The sequence below is a fragment of the Homo sapiens genome, chromosome 15, assembly GCF_000001405.40.
Source record: "Homo sapiens chromosome 15, GRCh38.p14 Primary Assembly".
Classification (NCBI taxonomy): domain Eukaryota; kingdom Metazoa; phylum Chordata; class Mammalia; order Primates; family Hominidae; genus Homo; species Homo sapiens.
Window position 1 is genome coordinate 65013373 of NC_000015.10, and position 26719 is coordinate 65040091.

The 26719-nt window shown below is 42.2% G+C and overlaps 1 protein-coding gene and 1 pseudogene across 4 annotated transcripts in view, besides 3 other annotated features; one reads left to right on the plus strand and one right to left on the minus strand.

The window, feature by feature from the left end:
* MTFMT (mitochondrial methionyl-tRNA formyltransferase) overlaps window positions 1-16267 on the minus strand; it is a 28128-nt gene extending 11861 nt beyond the window's left edge. The window contains exons 1-6 of one of the 4 annotated variants that reach the window (NM_139242.4): window positions 16033-16267; window positions 13459-13668; window positions 10300-10422; window positions 8142-8244; window positions 6825-6900; window positions 3064-3155 (exon numbers count right to left, since the gene is read on the minus strand). In NM_139242.4, coding sequence (NP_640335.2) covers window positions 3064-3155; window positions 6825-6900; window positions 8142-8244; window positions 10300-10422; window positions 13459-13668; window positions 16033-16241 — 813 coding nt within the window. In that variant the 5' untranslated portion in view covers window positions 16242-16267. Of the gene's footprint in view, window positions 1-3063; window positions 3156-6824; window positions 6901-8141; window positions 8245-10299; window positions 10423-13458; window positions 13669-15879 lie in introns of those variants that run through there. The other 3 variants (XM_005254158.6, XR_001751081.2, XR_007064421.1) reach the window with 3 other exon arrangements.
* LOC100130437 (transmembrane protein 126A pseudogene) lies at window positions 12586-13343 on the plus strand (annotated as a pseudogene).
* Window positions 15680-15979: a silencer, noted in NCBI's record as "silent region_6549". NCBI's record gives its function as "represses an Ori minimal core promoter by ATAC-STARR-seq in GM12878 lymphoblastoid cells {active_cell/tissue: GM12878}" and the evidence as "EXISTENCE:reporter gene assay evidence [ECO:0000049][PMID:35858748]".
* Window positions 16230-16419: a silencer, noted in NCBI's record as "silent region_6550". NCBI's record gives its function as "represses an Ori minimal core promoter by ATAC-STARR-seq in GM12878 lymphoblastoid cells {active_cell/tissue: GM12878}" and the evidence as "EXISTENCE:reporter gene assay evidence [ECO:0000049][PMID:35858748]".
* Window positions 19954-20033: an enhancer, noted in NCBI's record as "active region_9591". NCBI's record gives its function as "activates an Ori minimal core promoter by ATAC-STARR-seq in GM12878 lymphoblastoid cells {active_cell/tissue: GM12878}" and the evidence as "EXISTENCE:reporter gene assay evidence [ECO:0000049][PMID:35858748]".

Genomic DNA, 26719 nt, shown 5'->3' on the forward strand with positions numbered 1-26719 from the left:
CAAAATACCTGGGACTACAAGTGTCCACCACTGCACTTGGCTTCTTTCATTAAGTATGATGTTAGTTACAGGGTCTTCATAGATGTCCTTTATCAAGTTGAGGAAATGCTCTTCTATTTCTAGTTTATTGAGGTTTTTTTACATGTGTTGGATTTTGTCAAATGCTTTTTCTGCATCTATTGAGACAGTGATGTAGCTTTTGTCCTTTATTCTACTAATATGATATGTTACATTGACTGATTTTCATATGTTGAACCAACCTTGCATTCCTGGGATAAATCCCACTTGGGGCAGGGTGTGATGGCTCACACCTGTAATGCCAGCATGTTGGGAGGCTGAGGTGGGCGGATCACTCAAGTTCAGGAGTTTGAGATCAGCCTGGCCAACATGGTGAAACCCCATCTCTACTAAAAATACAAAAAAATGAGCTGAGCATGGTGCTGCATGCCTGTAATCCCAGCTACTCAGGAGGCTGAGGTAGAATTGCTAGAGCCCAGAAGGCGGAGGTTGCAGTGAGCTGAAACTGCACAGTTGCGCTCCAGCCTAGGCGACAGGGCGAGACACCATCTCAAAAAAAAAAAACAAAAAACAAAAAACAAAACCCAAAAAACAATCCCACTTAGTCATCATGTATAATCCTTTTTTATATGTTGCTGGATTCAGTTTGCTAACTCTGTGGAGGACTTGTGCATCTATATTCAGGGATATCAGTCTGGAGTTTCCTTTTCTTGTGATTCTTTGGGTTAGCCCACCTTGGGTTTTGTACTAGCTGTTCCTCTGCCTGGAATGCTCTTCTCTGTTCTAGGCATGGCTGGCTCCTTATTGTCTTTCAGATTTCAGCTTAAGTGTCAGAAAGAGGCTTTCCCCATCACCGATCTAAAATAACCTCCAGTTATTCTATCACATGATCCTATTTTTATTTTCATCAAGGAATTTATCACACTATTTGATTTTTTTTTTTTTTTTTTTGAGATGGAGTTTCGCTCTTGTTGCCCAGGCTGGTGTGCAATGTGCAATCTCGGCTCATCATAACCTCCACCTCCTGGGTTCAAGCAATTCTCCTGCCTCAGCCTCCCAAGTAGCTAGGATTACAGGCATGCGCCACTAGGTCTGGCTAATTTTTTTGTATTTTTAGTAGAGACGGGGTTTCTCCATGTTGGTCAGGCTGGTCTCGAACTCCTGACCTCAGGTGATCCGCCCGCCTCGGCCTCCCAAAGTGCTGAGATAACAGGCGTGAGCCACCATGCCCGGTCTTTTTTTTTTTTTTTCTTTTGAGACAGAGTCTTGCTCTGTCGCCCAGGCTGGAGTGCAGTGGTGTGATCTTGGCTCACTGCAACCTCTGTCTCCTAGGTTCAAGCAATTTTCTTGCCTCAGCCTTTCTAGTAGCTGGGATTACAGGCGCATGCCACCACGCCCAGCTAATTTTTTTGTGTGTTTTTAGTAGAGACAGGGTTTCACTATGTTGGCCAGGCTGGTCTCAAACTCCTGACCTCAGGTGATGCATCTGCCTCAGCCTCCCAAAGTGCTGGGATTACACGTGTGAGCCACCATGCCTGGCCTGATTTTTTTTTTTTTTTTTTGCTTACTTGTTGTCTGTCCTCCCACAACACCTGTTTCTATAGTACCTAGTACACTGCTTGACACATAATAGGCCTTCAATAAATATTTTGTTTAATGAATGAATGAATAATAGCAGCTATCATTTAATGAGTACCTATTCTGTGCCAGATACTGTACAAGATGCTGTAAATATATTATACCAGCCCTGATATTCCAAGGAACAAACTAAAGCTCGGAGGTTAAATAACTTTCCTGAGTCTACGACGTTAGGAAGTAGCAGAGTCAAGATGGAACCCAGCACTGTCTGGCCCTATGGTCCTTGTTTCCTGATGCCATTCTGTGGCAGCAGGAAAATAATAGGATTTGAAGTAAGATAGATCTCGTTCAAAACCTGACTCTGACTTTCATTAACTAGCAACACGACATCGAGTAACACTTAATAACAATTCATTATCTACTTTAAGCCTCAATTTCTTCAACTTTAAAGTGGGATGATAATAACTATAACATGAGTCTGTGATCCTCCTTACTGAAGAATTTAGCATGCTATAGATATCCAATGGTGGTTCCCCATTTTACCCAACATTAATAACAGAGATGGTCCATTAAAAACCACACACTTGGCCAGGCACAGTGGCTCGTGCCTGTAATCCCAGCACTTTGGGAGGCTGAGAAGAGCGGATCACTTGAGCTCAGCAGTTCAAGACCAGCCTGGGCAACATGGCAAAACCTCGTCTCTACAAAAAAATACAAAAATTAGCCAGGTGTGGTGGTGTGTGCCTGTGGTTGCAGCTACTCAGGGGCTGTCACAGGAGGCTCACTTGAGCCTGGGAGGCAGAGGTTGCAGTGAGCCAAGGTTTCTCCACTGTACTCCAGGCCTGGGTGACAGAGCTAGACCCCGTCTCAAAAAATAAAACAACACACACACACAAACACACATACGGTAAGCTCAGTGTTCAAATAACACAAGTAGCTATTGAAATGAAAGGAAAAAACCCCACAAATTTATCAATGAACTGAGAATTTAACTCAGACATTTTAACAAACTGTTATATTACTACACTTGGTGTACCATATGTAGAAATCAATGATTTAACAATTTGATTGTAAAAAATTGGCTAAAGGCAGAAAGACATACTGGAAGAAGCACAGGATTAGGAGTGAGAAGATTTAAGTTCATTATTTAGTGACTGGACATTCCTGTTAGTCATCTCATTTCTTTCCCCTCACCTATGAAGTAGGATAGTAAAACTTGGTTATGTGAAACTGCAATATACATATATTTAAAAGTGCTTTGTGAATTCTAAGGTCTCTATAAACACTTTAAACAGCTTAAAGAATTTTTAAGAATAAATTTCAGGTTTTCTAGGTTTTGTTCCTAAGATCAACCTTTTATTTGGGATATTTTTATTTGGGATTATTCCTAAATAAAAATATTTAGAAAGCAAATTACACACATAGAAAACCAACTAGGTAGAACTGCAACCTGACTTCCCAACTTACTATATTTCCAATGGCACGGTAAAGTCTGAATATTTGTTCTGAAGTTTGTTCCTCCCATTTTATACAACTGGTACCAGCAGAAATCTTAGGGGCTACAAGATAAAACCAAGAGCAAAAATGAACATCAGGGTCAGTGTCCATGAATTGACAGCTATTGATACTGAATAAGAGATACCAGAGAATTCATTCTAACCTCTCAACTTTTCTTTATGTTCAAAATTTTCCATATATCAAGTAAAAATAATAAATAAATAATCATATAAATATTAAAATAAAACATGGGTGAACTTCTTTACATCCTGGGAGTAGAAAATGCCCTTCTAACTATGAAATGAGACTATTCAAACTTTTTTTTTTTTTTTTGAGATAGGGTCTTGCCCTGTCACCCAGGCTGGAGTGCAGTGGCGTGATCTCAGCTCACTGCAACCTCCACCTCCCAGGCTCAAGAGATTCTTGTGCCTCAGCCTCCCGAGTAGCTGGGACTACAAGCGTGCACTACCATGCCTGGCTAATTTTTTGTATTTTTAGTAGAGACAGGGTTTTGCCATGTTTGCCAGGCTGGTCTCGAACTCCTAACCTTAAGTGATCCACCCGCCTCATCCTCCCAAAGTGCTAGGATTAGATGCATGAGCTACCATGCCTAGGCAAAATAAATTAAAAAAAAAAAAAAAGACAAAAAGAAATGCCATAAGTTAAATCAAAAAACAAATGACAAACTGAATTTGCAAGTTATCTCAGAGAGGACTAATTTCTCTATTATGAAATATAAGTACTCAAAAAACTGAGAAGAAAAAGACCAAAATGTTGATAGGAACATGGGCAAAAGATATACTACCACCCAGAAAAAAGAAATGCAAATAGTTCTTAAATATATGAAAAGATCTTCAACATTACTGACAGGAATAAGGTACATTAAAACTACTCCAAGTAGTTTTACTATACTATTCTGAATAACCATGTGCCTGTTATCTTCCTAATCTTACTATTATTTGAAATAGCAAAAGATTGGAAACAACCCAAATGCCCATCAATAAGACATCTGTTGGGTTAATTATGATATATTCACATAGCTGAGAACTATGCCACCATAAAAAACAAAAAGAAGGCCAGGCATGCCTTTGGGAGGCCAAGGCAGGAGGACGGCTTGAGTCTAGGAGTTCAAGACCAACCTGAGCAACATAGTTAGAACTTGTCTCTACAACAAATTAAAAAATTAGCCAGGCATGGTGGAATGTACCTGTAGTCCCAGCTACTTGGGAGGCTGAGGTGGGAGGACTGCTTGAGCCTGGGAGGTTGAGACTGCAGTAAGCCATGATCACACTATTGCACTTCAGCCTGGGTAACAGAGACCCTATCTTAAAAAAAAAAGAAAGAAGGAGGAAAATCTCTTCTTACTAATAGGAAGTAGTCTCCATGATACACTATTAAGTGAAAAAACAAAGGCACAGAAAAATATGTATTTTATGCCACCTTTTGTGAAGGAAAAATAAAAAATAACACTATGTAGGTGTTTGCTTATTTTGGCAAAAGGAAACACTGGAAGACTAAATCAGAAACTAATAAAAATGTTACCTATAGAGGGAGGAATACGGGTTAGATAAGATAGAGATGGAAGTAGGACTTCTATGAGTGTACCTTTTTAAGCTGTTTTAACTTTTGAACCATGTAAATATTTTATGCATTCAAAAAATAAAATTTAATCATAAAAGAAAATAAAGCAATCCCTAAAATAAAAAAAAAAACAACTGAAACTTAACTATGTATGAAACTAGGTAACAAAACCACATGGAAAAAATAATCATTACCAGGAAGTTTTGAAGGCAGTAATCTGACTGTATATCCTTAGGATATATTCTAAGGATCAAAAAGGAAAACTGTAAAGAAATCTTAAATCTTACTTAGTATTTTTACTCTTAGTAGTAATATTGGTATTGTAATGCTGAAATGATGTTATGAATAGCAAATAAATAGGTTAATATTTAAAAAAAGATAGTGTGAGAAAATATAAGGAAAACCCTTTAATGATAAATTTGAATCATAAACAATATGAGCTTGAATATTTTTTAAAAATATAACTTCTAGTTTAGTCCACTGATACCTTATCTTGCCATACATTGTTGTACCAGATGATCTCTAATTATCAACCCCACTAAAATGAACAAAAGCTCCCTGGAAATCACACTGGTTGATTTCAGTGTGAGCCAGAGGACACATAGGCGAGCCTGGGACATACTGTGGTGGAAGCAAGGAAGCACTCCAAACTAGTGGGAAGTGAAGAGTGTTAACAGAATGTAGGAGCCAAATTTAAGGGGCTCCCACTGGGCAAATATAAAGAATTATGACTGTAAAACACAATCAATGAAAATCTACGCGTCAAATGATACTAAAAAGAACGCATCTGACACCAAAATTGAAGGCAATTAATGGCATCAACTTCTTATTCTAATTAAAGAGAAAGAATTAAGCCCCTGTCCCCATTTTAGGATGAACTAAAATTCACCTCCAATTAATGAGGAAAAACTCTTCTTTCCAGAACAATACCAGCTATTAAATGTAAAAGGAATTAGAAAATTGCCATTTTGTAATCCATAGTGAAATAATTCATTTGGGCAAGGAATATCAATCTGTACTAAAACCATCATGTGAAAGGTTGTTAGGGAACAGGATATCTGCACAGTGCCAGAGTATTAATTACCCCACAGATTACCTGCTAATTGCAAAAGGGAAAACACATCTTAACACTGGAAAGATCTGGTGGTCACCATCTCAACCAAGTGATCAAACTTAGCTTCACTTGCTTTAGTACAGTCTGATATCTTGGCTTACTCAAGTGGTACCTTAAGACTGTAGGGGACAAAAGTGAGACTTCTCTAGGTATATTAACTTTTGAATCAGCTATATGTTTTACATATTCAAAAAATAACATTTAATCATAAAGAAAAATAAAAAGTAATCCCTAAAATTAAAAACAAACTGAAACAAATGTTTATACTCCTAACTCTACTAAAAAAAACAAAAAAGAAGAAAACAAATGTCACTGAAACACACTCTTTCCAAAAACTTTAAGCCTGAATCCAGCCAAACCTTTAGAACTAATTATAGGAAATATAAGAGATAGGGAACAAGTTAAACAACACTGGAAGAAAACAAATCAAACAACTGGCCTGGTCTCTTCAAAAAGTCAATGACATAGAGAGAGGAAAAAAAGAGGAATTTTTTTTAGAGACTAAAGAGACATAACAACTAATTACAATTAAATCCTAGTTTGAAAAATAAAACTATAAAATAAATTTTTAGACAATTAGGAACACTTAAATATGAACTGAACATTGGATGCTATCAGGAAATTGTTCATTTTTCTTAGGAAAGGCATACTAAACTACTTAGAGATGAAAGATCATGATTCATACTTCCAAATGAATAAGCAGAATTTAAAATACACGTAATAAATACATAAAGAGAAAGAAAATATGGACAAACATTAATAATTGTTGACTCTGGGGTAAACTGGTGTTTATTATACCAGTCTTTCTATTTAATATTTTCAAAATCAAGAAGTTGGAAAAAAATGCTCAATCCTTCATGAGGCTATATGCTAAGAGGGAGAAAGAATGCTTTCTACCATTCTTTGGAAAAGCACACAAAAGTGGGCACTCAATCAAAATTAAGGGAAAAGTACAGCTAAGAAGTCAGAATGTTCAGATGCTATCGTGACAAGCAGAACCTTTAGAAAGATGAGAGTCTCTGCAGCCTTCACTCACCGTAAGTCGCCCCCTCCATTGGCTGCTGCCTTCCATTGCTCAGACTTTCAGGCAAATTTTTCAAAACTGAAATGAGCTACAAAAAAAAAAAAAAGAGTGTGATATATTCAAAATGAAGGGAAGAACAAAAGCAGAAACACATTACAATTCAGCACCATGAAATAACCTATAACTTTTTTTCTTTTTCTTTTTTCAAATTAAAAAAAAAATCTTTACTATTGGCTCTTCAAGGCTGAACCTATAACTTTAAAAGATCTATGTGGCAGGGTAAGGTAGTACATTGGCTTAAGCTGTGAGGATAGGTGTCTACTTGGGGAAACCTCAGTAGAGATTCTGCTTTCTGTAGAGTACAGGTCATTGATTCACTTCTAGAGAATGCTGTGGAAGCTTTGGCATCAGGATAGCCCGGGCTTGGCTATACACACTCTCACCCCATGGGGGCCAAGGCAGTGAAACCTCACAGGACAATGTACTATGGAGTCACCCAGCTCTGGGTTCAAGTCCTAGTTCTACCACCTACCAGCTGTCTCATTGTGGAAAAGTTATTTAGCTTGTCTCTGGCCTTCAATGTCATCATCTGTGAAACAATCAACAGCAACAACTACCTCAAAGTTGAGAGGGTAAAAAGAAAAAGTCCATACAGTATCTAGAACAGTTGTAGAACACAAGCCAATGTTCAATAAACGGCAGTCACTATTATAAGATCATTTGTGAGGTAAGTGCCTAGAATAGGAAATACCATCTCTACAGGTGGGAAAAAAATATTCCTCTGTATAAAATTAACCCGTTCATATGGAAAACATAAGTTTAGTCATTAAACATTTACCCAGACTCTACTCATGCAGTTTCAATGAATTATATATACAAAGCCACAGAAAAAAGAAGGATCATCTATAGGTAGAATGGTCAGCAGAATTCTAGTGCAAATGACTGAAGCCAGGCAAAGAAATGGAAGGAAAGCTAAGAGTCGCTTAGAAAATTGCTGTTAGTTCATTCTGACAGGGATGCAAGGTATACATACCAGAGTGCGGAGAGTGAAATTGAGAAGAATAGTCTAAGACCTCACTATGGCATGTAGTAGGTCATGTAAGATCACCTGTTTCACTTGAAAGCCTTTATTCAGTACTTACTCTTTGTAAATTCTCAAAGATTTACATGAGATCACAAATGCCAGGCTAATTTTTAGGAAGCCAAAGATAGAAATTACTCTTTTTTGTTTTTAAGAAAATTAGAAGTCACAAAATTGTTCTTCTTTTTATAACCACTTAGGAAACCCACTAAATGAGTAAAAAGCAGTAGGATATTGGGGAATTATACCATGTTGGCACCCAGTCTTGACAACACTGCTTCCAATTCCTTTGCAGTGCTCTTGGGTGGCACAGGAACAGTTTCTTGTTTGAGAATTGGGCCTACATCAAACCTAGCAAAAAATCAAAAGCAAATAATGACAATGATTACCATTTCCTGAATCAATGTTTGTCTACACACAAAAAGATACAAGCTGGGTACAGTGGTCTGCATGCCTATAGTCCTAGTTGCTCAGGAGGCTGAGGCAGCAGGATTGCTTGATCCCTGGAGTTTGAGACCAGCCTGGGCAACACAGCTAGCCCCTATCTCTTAAAAAAAATAAATAAAGATAGTTTATCACTGGCTATTAATTTGGCTGTTAGACATTAGCAAGGAAGATATGTCAGTTTGAAAGACGGGAGAACAAAATATGGCCTGTGTTTAGAGTCTAAATTTATTTTTCCCTAAAGCAAAGAAACGATACAGTTGCATATCAGGAATTTAATTACAATTACAGAAAAATTATATCATTAGTAATAGCATGAAAAAATCTCTATTTGTATATGAAAAGCATAAGGCAAAGAATTTATTTTCCATGGAAGTACAGTTAGGAAGTTCATAATTATTTATTTCTATAGTCCCTTCCTCAAAGGATAAGAGTTTTGCCTAGATTATCACCATAGGTGATTATAAGTAGGGCCAGGCGTAGTGGCTCATGCCTGTAATCACAGCACTTTGGGAGGCCAAGGTGGGTGGATCACGAGGTCAAGAGATCCTGGCCAACATGGTGAAACCCTATCTCTACTAAAAATACAAAAAATTAGCCGGGCATGGTAGCGTGTGCCTGTAGTCCTAGCTATTCGGGAGGCTGCAGCAGGAGAATCGCTTGAACCTGGGAAGCAGAGGTTGCAGTGAGCTGAGATCACCCCACTACATTCCAGCCGGGGTGACAGAGTGAGACCCCGTCTCAAGAAAAAAAAAAAAAAGTAAATGCAAGTATATTTGCATTCCCACAAGTCTGACATTTTATATCAAGCTCTGTAAACACTGGTCATAGGTTTTCATGAGCAATATGCTTTATTTAATTTTTTTTTGCTTTTTGTTTTTGTTAATTCTATTTCTAACCTAGGAGCTTTAGTAAAATGTTTATTGTGAAAAATTGCAAACATTCACAAAAACGGAGTGAACAGTCTAATGAATCATCATATACACATCATTCAGATTTTTTTTTTTTTTTTTTTGAGACAGGTTCTTGCTCCGTCGCCCAGGCTGGAATGCAGTGGTGCGATCTTGCCTCACTGCCGCCTCAACCTCCTAGGCTGAAGAGATCCTCTCACCTCAGCCTCCTGAGTAGCTGGGACTACAGGTGTGTATCACCACACCTGGCTAATTTTTTTATTTTTTATATGTTGCCCAGGCTGGTCTTGAACTCCCAGACTCAAGTGATCCTCCCACCTCGGCCTCCCAAAGTTTAGGATTACAGGCGTGAGCCACCATGCCTGGCTCAGATTTTAGAACTACCAAAGTTTTGCCACTCTTGTCTCATCTACTCTCTCTCTTGTTTTCTGAAGTAAGTTAAAGCAAATCCCAGATACCACGTTGTTCTTGCGAACTTGTGAATTATTCTTTTCTAAGGGGAAATTAGGTGGTAACAGGCAGAGACTGAATAAACTCCTCAAGTAATTCTAAATAATTGTTTCTAAAAAATTGTTCTAAATTGTTTCTAAATTGTTCTAAACTATAGGTATGACAGGAAAAAATGAATGTTTTAGGACAATTATATTGCATATTGATATACAATATATTCTTATTTCAGGTTCCAAAAATTTTTTGGCCATAGTTTAGAAACCAAGGCCAGCAAAACCAAGATTCAAAACAATTAACATACAAAAATCCATCTCTCATTTATACAATGTATTTTATAGAAATCCGAGTATTAATAATATAACCTATTTCAATTAACAAATTAAAATTCACATATGGACTTTAAAGAGACCCCGCATAAATACCAAAAGACATATGGTTTATGTTAGAAACCAGGAGAAAACAGAAAGGATATAAAAGCAGAAGAAGCACTCTGGAGTCACAGAAATTAGTGAGCACCACCCATTCATCCACTGCCCCCCAAACAGGCTGACATCAACATTTAAAAATCACAAAAATCTCAAGAAAGGAAAATATGTGCTACCTTTTAGGTCTAATTTGCATAATTGTTACTCCAGTAACTGTGTCTCCGTGAAGCACTGTATGGATTACAGGGGCTGGGCCACGCCATCTCGGGAGGCAACTGGGATGAACATTCAATATGCCACTGAGTTAGAAAATGTAGAAATTAGTATGTCAGTGGGCTTTACCACTTCGTTACCACTACCTAAGCTATTATGCTACTTTTCATTAGGAAACTTTCCCAGAAATTTGGAAAAACTGACAGTTAAATCTAAGTCTCGTATCACCTGAAAGGAAAAAAGTTACATGTAAATTCACTCTCTTACCATAAGAAACCAATGACATTTAATTAAAAACAGAGCTAGGACAACTATTTGCTGTTCTAAAGATGTTCTGTCTGGGTGTGGTGGCTCATGCCTGTAATCCCAGCACTTTGAGAGGCCGAGGCGGGCGGATCACTTGAGATCGGGAGTTTGAGACCAGCCGGACCAACATGGAGAAACCCCATCTCTACTAAAAAGACAAAATTAGCCAGGTGTGGTGGCGCATGCCTGTAATCCCAGCTACTCGGAAGGCTGAGACAGGAGAATCGCTTGAACCTGGGAGGCAGAGGTGCAGTGAACCGAGATCACGCCATTGCACTCCAGCCTGGGCAACAAGAGCGAAACTCCGTCGCAAAATCTACAACAGCCCATGATGTCTGGGAGTTTTTAAATAAAATTTTAAAATGCATTTATGACTATAAGAGAACCACTCAAACCCTATTATGCATCTCATGAACAATTCTAATTTTATAGTTTAGTCACATAACTATCCTCACTTCACTTGGTTTACATACAGACTGCCTAAAATAAGCTTTTTCTTTTTTTTTTTAATTTTTTTTTGAGACAGGGTCTCGCTCTGTTGCCCAGGCTGGATGGCTCACTGCAGCCTCAACCTCCCAAGCTCAGGAGATCCTCAGCCCAATCCAACATTCACTGAGCGCACTCCATGTGCAGACACTGTTCTAAGTGTTAGGCATACAAGCAGCAGTGAACCAGACAGAAAAAAAAAATCCTGCCCTCAGAGAGTTTATGTACAAAAAGTGGGAGATAAGCAAGAAAAAACAAAATATGTACAAGGTTTGCCAGATGATGCTGAGGGCTATGGAGAAAATAAAGCAGAGAGGACTATGAGGGGGACATATTACAATTTTAGTAGTGATCAGAGAAAGCTTTACCAACAAGAAAACACTTGAACAAGAACATGAAGAAGGAAATAACTACGCATATATATGGGAGAAAAGCATTCCAGGCAGAGGGAACATTAAGTACAAAGATCTTGAAGAAGGTAAATGCTCGGCAAATTCAAGGCACAGCTGGGAGGCCAGTTAGGCCTGGCCTTTTATTGAGTAAGACAGAAAATTACCAGAGGATTTTGAGCAGAGTGACATGATCTGACTTGTTTTAAAAGGATCACTTTGAGGCAGGGTACAGTGGCTCATGCCTGTAATCCCAAAACTTTGGGAGGCCAAGGCAGGAAGATCACATGCAGCCAGGAGTTTGGGACCAGGTTGGGCCACATAGCGAGATCCCTGTCTCTAAAAAAAAAAAAAAAAAAAAAAGAGTTAGCTGGGTGTGTTGGCACATTCCTATAGTCTCAGCTACTCAGAAGGCTGAGGCAGGAAGATCCCTTGAGTCTGGGGCTGCAGTGAGTTATGATAGCAACACTGTACTCCAGCCTGGGTGACAGCAAGACTGTCTCTAAATTAAACAATAAAATAGAAATAAATAAATAAATAAATAAATACATTTTGGCTGCTGGATTGGTAAAAGACTGAGAGGGCCAAGGACAGAAGTAGGGACCAGTTAGGAGGCTTCTGTAGTAATGTAGGCGAGAGTGGCAGCAGCGGAAGTGATGAGATACAGACAGATTCTACACAGATTTTGAAGGCAGAGCCAATAGGATTTACTGATGGATTGGATATGGGACGTAAGAAATCAAGCATGACTCCAGGATTTTGGTGCAAGCAGCTAGAATGATGGAGTAGCCATTTATTGAGATAAAGATTTTAGGAGATGCTTTGGGTATCTTGAATGTAAAGTGGCTATCAGACATCCAGGAAGAGCTGTGGAGGCAGTAGGTATTAGGGGACTAGAGTTTGGGGACCGAGCTGAGCTAGAGGGACCAATTTGGGCGTTGTCAGCATATATATGGAATTTAAATGAAGGTGGATGAAAGCCTATAGAGGGTGATAAGGAGTTAAATACATTTTGACAACTCATGCCACAAATAAAATGTTCTTTAGTACTTGAAAAGAAAATATCAGGCCGAGTCATGTGTCAGCCAAATATGGCTGTGCCCAGGCGAGTTGAGCAAAGGCTTCAGTGAGCCCGGGCATGGCTGAAGACGACCTGGGGAGGCACCAACCAGCTGCTGGGAGAAGAGCATAAGGCTCAAGATGGAAAATCATAAATCTAATACTATCAAGGAAAACTTAACAATCTTTGATATCATAACCAGAAAAATTAACCAGCTTCCACAAGCAGAAAGGAATCTACCTGAAGAGGGATCAGCATATGTTGGATTTAATGCTCTCTGTGGCCTCATAGCAAATGGTCTTTTTCAATGCGTCTTGAACATGACACAGGCTCTTACAGCTGCTGGCTTACCAATGGCAGTGATCCCTTTTCTTACAACAAACACAGCTTACAAAAGTTTTGTAAATTTTCCTTCGAATACAGGTGATTTGAATTGTGAAACGTGTACCATAACACAGAGTGGATTGGTCTTGCTTTTGGTGGTCTATACCCTCTTTTCTTGTCTATACCTGTGACTGGAGGCCTAGCAGCCTGGTATGAATCAACTCTGTTACCAGAGAAAGGGAACATCTTAAGTTACTGGATTCAAATTTATAAGCCTGTCTTTAGAAAGATGTTATTTCCTATTGTGTTCCAGACTGTGTTTGCAGCATTCCTTGGGTTTAAACAATATAAACTACTTCTAAAGGCCCTTCAGTTACCTGAACCTGGCAGAGAAATTCATTGACTTTAAGCAAACATGTACAGAAAAATAAAATGGTAAAAATAAAAAAAGAAAATATTACAGAAAGCATAGAGTTCAAATTATCACATTTTATATACAAGGTCCATTTATAAAGACCAAGGTTTCTATACTGTATTTCCTTACAAATAAAACTTACTAGGGAAATTTAAGAATAAGAGCCTCATTCAAAAGTCGGCCAAACGAAGCCACTACTCCAACATCATATTCTCCAGATCCCACATCCGGCCACTCATATACGGGAAGCTGAGACTGCACAGCATATTGCTTCACTGGCAGTCCTTTTGGTGATGGGGAAGGCATTGTGACCACCTCCAGTTTGTCGATTAACTCTTCTTCTTTGTTTTCCCTAAATTAGATAGGAAGAAAAATGTGACAGTGTTAAGGCAATGACTCAAAGCTAAAACTACTTCACATATCGCTAAGTATGTTTATGATTAATCTCATGAAGCATTTAGGGCTAAATGATTAAAACTAGTGTGAGAGACTGAGTTTTCATTTTTTCTTTTTCTTTTTTTTTTTTTGAGCTGGAGTCTCACTCTGTCACCCAGGCTGGAGTGCAGTGGAGCGATCTCAGCTCACTGCAACCTCTGCCCCCTAGGTTCAAGCGATTATCCTGCCTCAGTCTCCCGAATAGCTGGGATTACAGGCATGCACCACCACACCCAGCTAATTTTTGTGTTTTTTAGTGGAGGCAGGGTTTCCCCATGTTGGCCAGGCTGGTCTCCAACTCCTGACCTCAAGTGATCCGTCCGCCTCCACCTCCCAAAGTGCTGGGATTACAGGCGTGAACACCGTGCCCAGCCTCAGTTTTCATTTTTTATTTAATTTTAATTATTTAAAATGTAAAGAGTGACACGTGGCTAGTGGCTACTGTTTGAACAGTATCATTCTAGGGATTTCCTGTGCATACAGAAACATATACAGTATGGATACTTTACACAACTGGGATATTACATACTGCTTTGCATTTTTTTTCCTTTTAACAATGCTATATATGCTATTATGTGTCTTTTTGAAAAATGGGTTAAATATACGTATATTTGTATATTCACTGAACATTTCTAGAAGGAACTGAAAACAGTGGCTGTCTCTGGATAAAGGAACTGGGAACTGCTAAACAGAGGTGGAAGGAAGTAACTTTTCACTGTATATCCTTTGAATCCATGGAACTTTTTTACCATAACCATGATGCCATTCAAACACTACTTTTTAAAAAACAAACAAAAATACATAACATGGCTATCATTCCATGGCAGTACCTGTAGCACTACCTCATCCTTTCTACCTGCTGCATAGCATTCTAGTACCCAGGGGGGTACATTTATTAAACAGGTATTGTATGTACACGTTGAGGAGTTATGAGGAGTATGTCCTGGGGCACTATAAAGAAAGCACAGGAGTAATGGAGCTGCCAAGTGAAGCATCATCAGAAGTATCAGGATAGGCCAGGAATGATGGCTCAGGCCTGTAATCTCAGCACTTTGGGAGGCCAAGGTGAGAGGATCACTTGATCCCAGGAGTTTGAGATAAGCCTGGGCAACATGGTGAAAACCCGCCTCTACAAAAAATTTAAAAATCAGGCGTGGTGGTGCACGCCCGTAGTCCTAGCTACTCTGGAAGCTGAGATGGGATGATTGCTTGATCTTTGAGGTCGAGGCTGCAGTGAGCTATGAGCCGGCCACTGCACTCCAGCCTGGGGGACAGCGCGAGACCTCGCCTCAGAAACAAACAAAAAAAGTGTTGGTATAAATGTATAAATGCAGTGAGAGACGCATGTGACAACAGCAGCCCATGAAGGGTGTGCAAAGGGAACATGGGGTTTCCTTCCGGGTGTGTGCACAGAGGGGTGTGTGGAGGAAGGAAAACCACACAGGGGATTGACGAAGGATTCAATACATGAGGGGCTGCTGTGAAGTATCTGTAGGGAAAAGGAGATGGAGATGACCAAAAAAAGTGGAAGGAGGACTGCGTCAGAAAAAAACAGAATGGGGAAATAAAAAACATTAATTGGGAAAAAGAGGCAGAGAAGTATATACGGTATTGCCACCACATACCATGGACTCTCAGGACTGGTTGGATTTCAAATAATTTTCTTTCCCAGTAAACAAAACTTGTTAAATATTATGAATACTAAATGTATACCTAACAGTTCTGATTTATAAATTTATTCTTTTGAAAACAGGTCGTTTTTGGACTATGTCCTTGTATACAAGGAGCACAGGGGGAGCAAAAGAGCGAGACACGGGTGTGCCGAAGGATGGGGGTCAGGAGGAACTGCAAAGCAGGGAACTTTGAAGTGGGACCTGGTTTTAGTCCGAACCACCTCGGCTGATGACCTTGGGCAATCGCATAACCTCTCTGAGCCACGGATTCCCCACACTCAAAACGGGCAGGGAGGCCGTGGGACTGGCCCGGGGGATGCAGGCAGAGCGCCCAGCCCCAGCTCGGCACAGCGTGGGTGGCAGGGCGCCTGGAGAACCCACAGAGGCGGCGGGGAGTGAGGGGCGCAGACCGCAGGTACTAGGCGCCCAAAGGCTGACCGGCGGGAATGGCGCACCTTCTGGGAGCCAGAAGACGCCGAGATCTGGGCCCACACCGCTCTGCCGCCCATGCTTTCCGCAACCAGAAGTCCAAAACCCTCGGGGCCGGCCGCCCGGGCGCGGCCTGGAGGCCTTCAGCGGCCGGGTCCCCGGATCCCTGGCCCGGGTACCTGGCGGCGTGCAGCGCCCGCAGCGCCTCGCGGGCGAACTGGTCCGTGCCGAAGAAGAGCACCCGCCAGGGAGGCTTCTCGCGGACTCTGGAGTCCCGGCAGTCCTCCCAGCCGAGTCGGGCCAGTGCTCGCCACTGGGGACTCGGCCTCCCACGCCTGGCGCCATGAGCCAGCGGAGGACCCCAACAGCGCCGCACCAACACCCTCATCGCCTCGGCCGCCGGCGGCCGGCCCTGCGCAGGCGCATCGGGGCGGGGACAAGGGTGCAGCCTGGGGAGGGCGGGGCTTGCCTGCTTGGAGGCGGGGTCTGGTTGGAGTTGGTGAACGAATTTGCCCGCTACAGCGGCCCTAGATTTTTGTTCTGTTTATTTGCACTATGTAGCCAATCCTCCAGAATAAGTCTTTCTTTTCTTTTTAAAATCGCTTTATTTATTTATTTATTTATTTATTTATTTATTTCAGAAAGGGTCTTGCTCTGTCGCGCAGGCTGGAGTGCTGTGGCGCGATCTCTGCTTACTGCAACCTCACTGCTCCTGGGCTCAAGGGATCCTCCCACCTCAGCCTCCGGAGTAGCTGGGGTACAGGCACACATCACCATGCTGGGCTGATTTTTTGTAGAGAGAGTATCTCACTATGTTGCCCAGGTCTCAAGCAATCCTCCTGCCTTGGCCTCCCCAAGTGCTGGGGTTACAGGCGTGAGCCACTGCGCCGGCCCAGGATAAGTCTTTTGGTAACAAATCGTGCATGTTTTCAGACAATGAAACCTCATGTATATAGTGCATGTCATTTCCTCAACCATTATAACCAATATTTGCTGAGTACTTCACTCCGTGCCACGTTTTTGCTAAGCATTTTATATTCATTATTCTGGTTAATCATCAGATCAACCTTAGGAGGTAGATACTATTACAAATATGTTACTGAAGAGAAACTGAAGCTCCGTGAAATTAAGGACTTACCAGTGTATAAGGTCCACACAGCTAGTAAAGGACAGAGCAGAGGTGGGACTCTTGTAATTCCAACGCTTGTAATCCTAGCCGTTGGGCCTTCTCAGCGATCCTATGTATTAGGCAAGTCAATTACCCACATTTTGCACCTGAGGAAACTGAGCCTTAGTTACTTGTCTGCAGTTACTTTCTTGAATCGAAGGCTCCATCTTTACTCCTCCCCTGTGGGTTCCTTTGCACACAGAAGGATACCATAGAGGTGATTCCTAGGGAAATGGACAGGGAACCTTATCCCCAGAAGACCTCCGAGGACCGTTAGTGCTTAGATTCTGTATCCCCAAAGCCTCCTTGAGTGGAGTCAGACATCCATGAAACAGGATCTGAGCAGAGACTGAAACCGAATTTTGTTCTAATCTTATTCTCACCACCATTTTTTTTTTTTTTTTTTTTTTTTTTGAGATGGAGTCTCGCTCTGTTTTTCAGGCTGGAGGGCAGTGGCGGGCGATCTTGGCTCACTGCAACCGCTGCTTCCCAGGTTCAGGCGATTCTCCTGCCTCAGCCTCCCAAGTAGCTGGGACATGCGCCACTACACCTAGCTAATTTTTGTATTTTTAGTAGAGATGGGATTCACTATGTTGACCAGGCTGGTCTTGAACTCCTGACCTCAGGTGATCTGCCTGCCTTGGCCCCCCAAAGTGCTAGGATTACAGGCATGAGCCACTGCGCCCTGCCGTCTCACCACCTTTTCCCATCACACAGTCTTAAACCCAGTGACCCTGGACCAGTCCTTTTTCCTAAATTATGAGCTCTGCACATCCCTGCTCCTGTGCCTTTGCTCATGCTCCCTTCCTAGACTGCCTTCCCACATCTCTTCATCTCTAAATGGTATCCATTCTTCAACACGAAGTTCAGACATTCGCCCTGAAGCTTCAAGCTCTTGCCTCCTTAGATTTCTTGTCTTTCTCCATGTGCCCCTGTTTTTTTTTGTTGTTGCTGTTGTTTTTGTTTTTGTTTTTGAGACAGAGTCTCACTCTGTCACCCAGGCTGGAGTGCAGTGGTGTGATCTTGGCTCACTGCACCCTCCACCTCCCCTGTGCAAGCGATTCTGCTGCCTCAGCCTCCTGAGTAGCTGTGATTACAGGCGCCTGCCACCACGTCTGGCTAATTTTTTGTATTTTTAGTAGAGATGGGGTTTTGCCGTGTTGGGCAGGCTGGTCTCGAACTCCTGACCTCAGGTGATCCACCTGCTTTGGCCTCCCAAAGTGCTGGGATTACAGGCATGAGCCACCGTGCTTAGCCCATGTGCCCCCTTAATACTCTGTAGGGACCCCCATTTCTCATGTAGTTTGGTATTACTGAGGAAGGTTGTCTAATGTATGCATAGACATTGAGAAATTCACATGTGTTTTGAACAGAAAAGAGAAGCAAAGAGGAAGATATTCCAGTAATTTTGCTTATCTGATCACATATGAGAAGGAGAGTGAGATGGGACCCCAAACCCTCTATTCCCTTGATCAAGTTCTGTTCCAGTATCCTCTCTTAGGGTGAGCAGAATGTGATTCTAATATTCGAAGACTGGTCTTTTCCCATACAACATGACCTAGAAATACAATGCAAATAGTCAACTGGTTTTCACCTTAGAATTTGGCTGCTGCCTAAAGTGTAAACCTTGGTACCTGTGTTTATGCCATTTCTTCCCTAGTGGGTTTTAAGCTCTTGAGTTAGAGAGCCTGCTTTATGCTACCTTTAATTTTCAGCAGCCCGAGTTCTCCCAGATAACCCTGCCCCCTAGGGTTGTTTTGCACCATTCCCAGAGTCCTTTGATGACTACAGAGCGACTGCTCAGGTTGAGGGGCTAATTCCAATCGTTTTCTTTCCTCCACAGATCCGCCTCCTATCACTGGCATCTAAATTTCTAGTTAACAAACACAAACTTCTTTTTAAAATTGATTTGCAGCAAACTTCTTTTTTTTTTTTTAAAGGAACATGGTGTTACTGTAATGGCTGAGGTTTTCCCAGGATGTAAAAATGAAAATATTTCTGAAACTCTTGGTAGTGAGTTAAGAGTATGTTGTAGAGGACGAGGGGTGTCTACTTTCAAGACCAGATAAATCCACCACTGGAACTATCATAAAGCACACAGAGAAGATGAGGACTCCAGCCCCGAATGGCAAGGAGTTTTACATAATAAATTAAGACACCCAGAAAGCACATACAAGGGGATTGGAACCCAGATAATGCTAATTCAGTTGGTGCTCCTGTTTTCAGAAATTTATCTTTCTTGATGAATAGAGTGTGTGCGGATGCTGAATCAATGAAATTACTCCAGGTTCTGAGTCTGGGTGACAAGACAATAGCAGTGTCATTGACGTAGGGAAATAACCCACTTGGTGGTCAACATGACATTTCACCCTTGAATGCTTTGAAACTGAAGTGATGAGACAAGCAAATGGAGACGTTTAGTAGAAAACTGGAATGCAGGAGTGGCCTCCATGACTAGGGGCTGGGAGAGCTGATCTGGGAATGGGAAGAGGCAACAAGCATTTCCACTTCCTGTTCCCGTCATCTCACCCCACTCCATGACTATATGGGTATTTCTGCAGGGTGAGGATAACTACCACAGAACAGAACTCCAGTTAGTAAGGTGGCCAACGCCTAAGTCCACAAGAACCCCTGCTTGTGGCCTAGGAGGCAATGCCACATTTGACCAGGGGAAGGACTGCCACACATAGGTGTCAGCCCAGTGCCAGGGGCAGGAACTGACCTCAGGGGCACAGTCCAGTGAAGCCTTTTGAGATGCAGTTCCTAGCGAGCCACTCCATGTACTGCCATCGCCTGCCTGTGGTTGTATCAGATGCCCGCAAGGAGGTGCTGCCCACCAGCCTGTCCCGTCACTGAGCGTGACGGATAGTCCGTTTGCTCCAGTACCTCTGACAGAATCTGCCCTCTGTGTTGTTACTGCCCTGTGTGGTCCAGTAGATGTCACTCCCTAACCTGTCCAGCCTCTCTGTAAATCAGGGCCGGGGATGAAAGGCCACACACAGCAGTGTGGGTCCACAGGACTCTCCTTGATAAGGAGAGAGACTGGAGAGGTTAAGGGACATCTAAGGGGTATCAGGAACCCCAGGAAGCGAAGCCAGATATACCACAGGTAGGAGAAGCAGCCTAACAATATGGACGTTTCCTCATTGCTGCTGAGGGGCATCCTAGAAAACCAAGAGAATATTTCAAAGTACACTTAAAGAGATCAAATATTAAAAACTTTAGTTCCCAGCCCTTTACCCCCAGCAAAAATGCTAGACAGTGTTAACAAAGCTGTATGTTGTTAACAGGAGGAAAGACTAGTTAGTAAAATAGCTACAGCTGTGGCCAGTTCTTGTTCTTGGACACCTATGTTTATATCGGAAAACACTTTTTGATGCTGTTCTCTGAAATCAGGCTCCACATATGGAGTGATAAAACAGAAATCCTTTTTTAAACAAAACCGCCTTTGCTACTTCCTAGACAGCCACTAGATAGCACCACAGCCTTGCTTCCTCACCCTTTACCCTCACGTGGGACTCAAAGAAGAGCGATTGCATGCAATTGATTAGCTCCATAGTTTCTAATCAGCTGCTCACTAGCATGCTTCCTTTATTTACCAGGTTCAGAATATGGGAAAGAGAGGCTGAAGCTACCCCAAGGAAGTTTTGTATAGATTGTTATTGTGAATATATATCATGTATCCTGTGTGGGGTGGTAGCATATTTCTGTTTGTATGTAAGGGCTATCAATAAATACACTTCTAAGAAAATTTTTCCTAGAAGTGTAATAATTTGGTTGGTTGGAGATGCTTGTGGTATCCTCTTTACATTTTACAATATAGATTATCATTCTCTGGAGATTTGCCAAAACCTTCAGGTCTATAATACATCCCTCTGTGGGGGATAATGATCATCTCAGTCCTTATGTAACAGTTATAGAAAGGCTCATTTGCTTATATCCTGCTCTCCTGTGGGAATCCTACTTGCCTCCAATCTGATGTAGCTGACTCTGTAATAAATTAAACCAGAGCTACCCAGTCTTATCATTAACAGGTGCTTTCTGCTTGCTCCTCACACTTGGCCTAAAGGCCCTTGTATATAAGTCAGAGATCTTGGCTTCTGGAAGAAATATCAAAATAAAATTTACAGCCTTGGGGGTAGGGGCTGAAGGGGCTGTACCAGGCACTTTTTTTTTTTTTTTTTTTTTTTTTGAGACAGAGTCTTGCTCTGTCACCCAGGGTAAAGTGCCGGGACGTGATCTCGGTTCACTGCAGCCTCGACCTCCCAGGCTCAGGTGATCCGCCCGCCTCAGCCTTCCAACTATAGGCACGCGCCACCATGCCCAGCTAATTTTTTTTTGTAGAGACAGGGTTTTGCCATGTTGCCGAGGCTGGTCTCGAGCTCCTGGGCTCAAGCAATCCTCCTGCTTTGGCCTCCCAAAATGCTGGGATTACAGGCTGCACCACTGCGCCCGGCCAAAATGCACATCCTCTTTACAGGGGAAATTCCCTACTGTAGATAGCTTTGCTTGAATGAGCTCAACTACAGTGCGAATGCTGGGGCTTATTGTGTTGACTGTACGGTCACCACGGTTGCCGCATCCCGAGGACATGGTCACTTCCTTGACTACCTATCTTGCCTCAAGTTGAACATTTGAATTGTTCCCACTTGTTGGCTATGATGAATAATGCTACCGTGAACATTCATGTGCAAGCTTTTGTGTGGAAATATGTTTCCACCCGCTGGGCACGGTGGCTCACACCTGTAATCCCAAAACTTTGGGAGGCCGAGGCGGGCGATCACTTGAGGTCAGGAGTTCAAGACCAGCCTGGCCTACATGGTGAAACCCCATCTCTACTAAAAACACAAAAATTAATCGGGAGTGGTGGTGCATGCCTGTAGTACCAGCTACTCAGGAGGCCGAGGCAGGAGAATTGCTTGCACCCGGGAGGCAGAGGTTGCAGTGAGCCAAGATCAAGCCACTGCACTTCAGCCTGGGCAACCAAGTAAGACTCTGTCTCAAAAAAAAAAAAGAAATATGTTTCCAATTCTCTTGGGTATATACCTAAAAGTAGAATTGCTGAGTCCCACTCTATGTTTTATTTTTTATTTATTTATTTTTTATTTTTTTGAGACTGAGTCTTGCTCTGTCACCCAGGCCAGACTGCAGTGGCGCGATCTTGGCTCACTGCAAGCTCCGCCTCCCGGGTTCATGCCATTCTCCTGCCTCAGCCTCCCGAGTAGCTGGGACTACAGGTGCCCGCCACCACACCCGGCTAATTTTTTTCTATTTTTAGTAGAGACGGGGTTTCACCATGTTAGCTAGGATGGTCTCGATCTCCTGACCTCGTGATCTGCCTGCCTTGGCCTCCCAAAGTGCTGGGATTACAGGCGTGAACCACTGCGCCCGGCCTCTATGTTTTAATTCTTAGAAGTGACAAGCTGTTTTCCAAAGTGGCTACACCGTTTTACATTCCCACCAGCAGTGAGTGACAGTGTACCATCATATAACTACTGATACTGCAGGGAGTAAACTCAGGAGTTCAGGCCTCTTTGTGTGAACTGATTTTGCCGCTGCACATGGATACCTGGCACATTGTACCAGAGCGCTTACATCTCAGGATTGCCGGGGTGCCTTTGTCTAGAAGCAGATAATTCTGCAAATGTGGACTGCTGACCCAGGATCCACCTATGGAGAATTCATTATGTAGAACTGAATGAAACCAATGATGAAACTCAGATTGTGTTTTGAAATGTTGTCGGTATTTTTTTTTATGTTCTATGTTCTGCTAGGCATATGAAAAACATCTCTTTAGTCCTTTATGTTCCATCTCTAACTCTCAATTTAGCGGGCTTTAAATGTTCAAACTGAAAGGCACTTTCACCACACATAGTTAAAGGAACTACCCTAAATCTCCCTGATTATTAGCTTTGTGAGTCTTACCTTGGTTGCTATATTATTTCAGAGGACCCCTCAAAATTCATGAAATGAATAATATTGTATACTTTAGATCATCCAGTTTTCAGAAATGAGAGACTAAATGCCTCAGAATACCTACCCACATTGCCAAACCCCCTTAGAATCCAAGATGTATTAAATGTTCTGTCTAGGAGGTCAAGACTGTAGAAAATCTTTTTTTTTTTTTTTTTTTTTTTTTTTTTTTTTTTTTTTTTTTGAGACGGAGTGTCTTAACTCTGTCGTCCAGGCTGGAGTGCAGTGGCACGATCTTGCCTCACCGCAACCTCCGCCTCCCGGGTTCAAGCAAGCAATTCTCCCACCTCAGCCTCCTGGGTAGCTAGGATTACAGGCACCCACCACCATGCCCGGCTAATTTTTGTATTTTTAGTAGAGACAGGGTTTCTCCATGTTGGCCAGGCTGGTCTCAAACTCCTGACCTCAGGTGATCCACCTGCCTTGGCTTCTCAAAGTGCTGGGATTATAGGCATAAGCCACCGCACCTGGCCAGAAAACCTTAAATGGAAAATTTAATCCAAATGGATAAATTAATATACAGGTAAATTTAAGGATGATGCCTCCAAAAAGTGCAATTTGTTGTAAAATGGGTTATGCTTAGCAAAACAAAAATTTCCTTAAATTTTTGTTTTCTTATTATAACTATAGTATGCCTGCAAATAATCAAGCCAGGCATGGTGGCTCACACCTATAATCCCAACACTTTGGGAGGTCAAGACAGAAGATAACTGGACGCCAGGAGTTTGACAGCAGCCTGGGCAAGACCCTATCTCTACAAAATTTTAAAAATTAGCCAAGTGTAGTGGTGCACGCCTATGGTCCTAGCTACTCGGGAGGCTGAGGTGGGAGAATCGCTTGAGCCCAGGAGATTGAGGCTGCCATGAGCCATGATCATGCCACTCCAACCTAGGCAACAGAGTCAGATCTTGTCTTAAAAAAAAAATTAAAAAAAAAAAAAAGAGTGCTTACTTGCCTGTGAATGGGAGGGACAAAACTGAGACAAATTAACACACAATTCTTACTTACCAAGTTGTTTGACATTCCTCAAACACATTGTTGAACAATATGTCTGTAAAATGAAACTGTTCATAGTGCTGTGTCTGAGAATGATTAAACTTTAAGCACCTCCTATAGATAGACTTTGATTTTATTCTACTCTTGGACTCTGGTTTAGTAGGGGACTGAAGAAAATTTTTGGTTATACTATAACCAGGAGCAAGAGGTCAAAGACATAGAAATAATTAAGGATTATGAATAAGGGTCAGCAACATAGATAGTCTCAAATGCTATCGATAAGATGAAAGGGATTAAGGTGGTGGCTGCAGAATATCTTTCCTTGGAGAAAGTACATATTGTACTTGTTTTTACTGTTTCACACCAGTTTTTGCCAAACTTCCTATACTTTGCAAATATTCTTGAAATGCTTCCAACAAAACATGTGTCTGATGAAAAAGACTTTGATCATGGACATCCTTTTACTTTGGTATAAAGATGACTTCCCTTTGAACACCTGTCACTCCTCTCAACCATCCTATTACAGATGAAGGCCTCAAGTCAGTGCTTCACTGGAAATAATTTTGGACTTACTTCCCCTACCTTTTGCAAAAATATCCCTCACTAATTCCACTATTTGTTTTTTTTTCCTCTTCTGGGTTTAACATAAAAATTAGCCCCTAGAAGAAATATGTGGTTCCGTTGGTACCATAATTTAACCACTCCTCTGATCCTCGATATTTGTATTTTTGTTTCAAAAAAAATTTGTATTTTTTTTTGTTGTTGTTGTTTTTCTGAGACAGAGTCTCACTCTGTCGCCCAGGCTGGAGTGCAATGGCACGATCTTGGCTCACTGCAACCTCTGCCTCTCAGGTTCAAGTGATTCTCCCGCCTCAGCCTCCTGAGTAGCTGGGATTATAGGCACCCACCATCATGCCCGGCTAATTTCTTTTGTATTTTCGTAGAGATGGGGTTTCACCATGTTGGCCAGGCTGGTCTTGAACTCCTGACCTCAGGTGATCTGCCCACCTCGGCTTCCCAAAGTGCTGGGATTACAGGCGTGAGCCTCTGTGCCCGACCAACAACAAGAATAAATTTTGAGACAGCATCTCACTCTGTCGCCCAGGCTGGAGTACAGTGGTGGATCATGCCTCATTGCAGCCTCAACCTCCTGGGCTCAAGCAATCCTCCTGTCTTAACCTCCCAAATAGCTGGGACCACAGATGCATGCCACCATGCCTGGCTAATATTTTTTTAGAGATGGGGTCTCACTTTGTTGCCCAGGTTGGTCTCGGACTCTGGGTTCAAGTGATCCTCCTGCCTCAGCCTCTAAAAGTGCTGGGATTACAGACAGAAGCCACCATGCCCACTCTTTTTTTTGCTATTTTAAATAATGTTGCAGTGAACATTCTTGAACATACATCTCTGCTCCCATGTGTCATCATTTCCTTACATCGCCACTTTCAGATTTCATTTTATTTTCCATGAAGTTTACTGAGAAGATAACGTGCTGTCATCAGGGACTTGGAAGAACTATTGTTCAAACTGAATTGTTAAACTGGCTTCCACATGTAAGTGATGCTTGTGAAAATGAGGGTGAGAACAAACAGCTAGCCAAGGGCCTGTCCACCCCTCCTGGCGCCAGCTGATGATAGATGGCCCACCCCAAGGAGCAGAACAGCCTGCCCTGGAAATGCAGATCAGTTTCCACCACTTTGAAACCTTTACTGGCTGTCAGCCTAGCAGGCGTCACATCTTCCGCATGGGGAGACAGCAGGCTGAGACGCAGGAGGATGCTTAGCCTTAGGCCCTGAAGGTCAGGGCAAGACTCTGCCTCCTGGAACTTAACCCTGAGCTGAGGTTAAAGCATCCTCTGCAATCCAGCTGAGGGGTCAGGTTTCTGGACAGCTCAGCCAGTATTCCCTACCCTCTAGCATCCATCACAATTTAGGGAAAAAGTTCTCCTTCATACTGGTGTTTTACCTTATTTAGCAGAAAAGCCAACTGGTTGACCCCAGGTGGAAATCTCCCATGTTTAAAGGGCCTGGACTTTGTCATTACACAATTGGCTCCTTCTGATAGTAGTTGCTAAAATCCTTTGCTTTTTCACTCCTTGTAGAACCTTAATGCGTTTTGATAAAAACTTGAGGTCCCAGTGACTAGCTCAAGATCACACAGCTGGTCAGTAGCAAAGATGGACAGGACTAGAAGTTAGTTCTGCTGCCATGTTATTTACTTATCCAATAAACCATTTTTAAACATGCAGAATGTATGTATTAGTTACAGTACAGAGTAAGTTTCTGTAACAGGGAGATCCCCAAACTTTTCCTGTACATAACACTTTCAGAAGCTGATAGGTGGTCCAGGGCAGGTAGGCTGCTCAGCTACCTGAGGTTAATCAGGAGCTCAAATTCCTTCTATCTTGTTGCCTGGGTTGTCTTTTTTTTTTTTGAGATGGGGTCTCATTCTATTGCCCAGGCTGGAGTACAGTGGTGTGATCTTGGCTCACCGCAACCTCCACCTCCCAGGTTCAAGTCATCCTCCTGCCTCAGCCTCCCAAGTAGCTGGGACTACAGGCATGCGCCAACAGCCTGGCTAATTTTGTATTTTTAGTAGAGACAGGGTTTCACCATGTTGCCCAGGGTGGTCTCGAACTCCTGAACTCAGGTGATCCACCTGCCTCAGCCTACTAAAGTGCTGGGATTACAGGCGTGAGTCACTGCACCCAGCTGGCACTTTTTTTGTTTGGT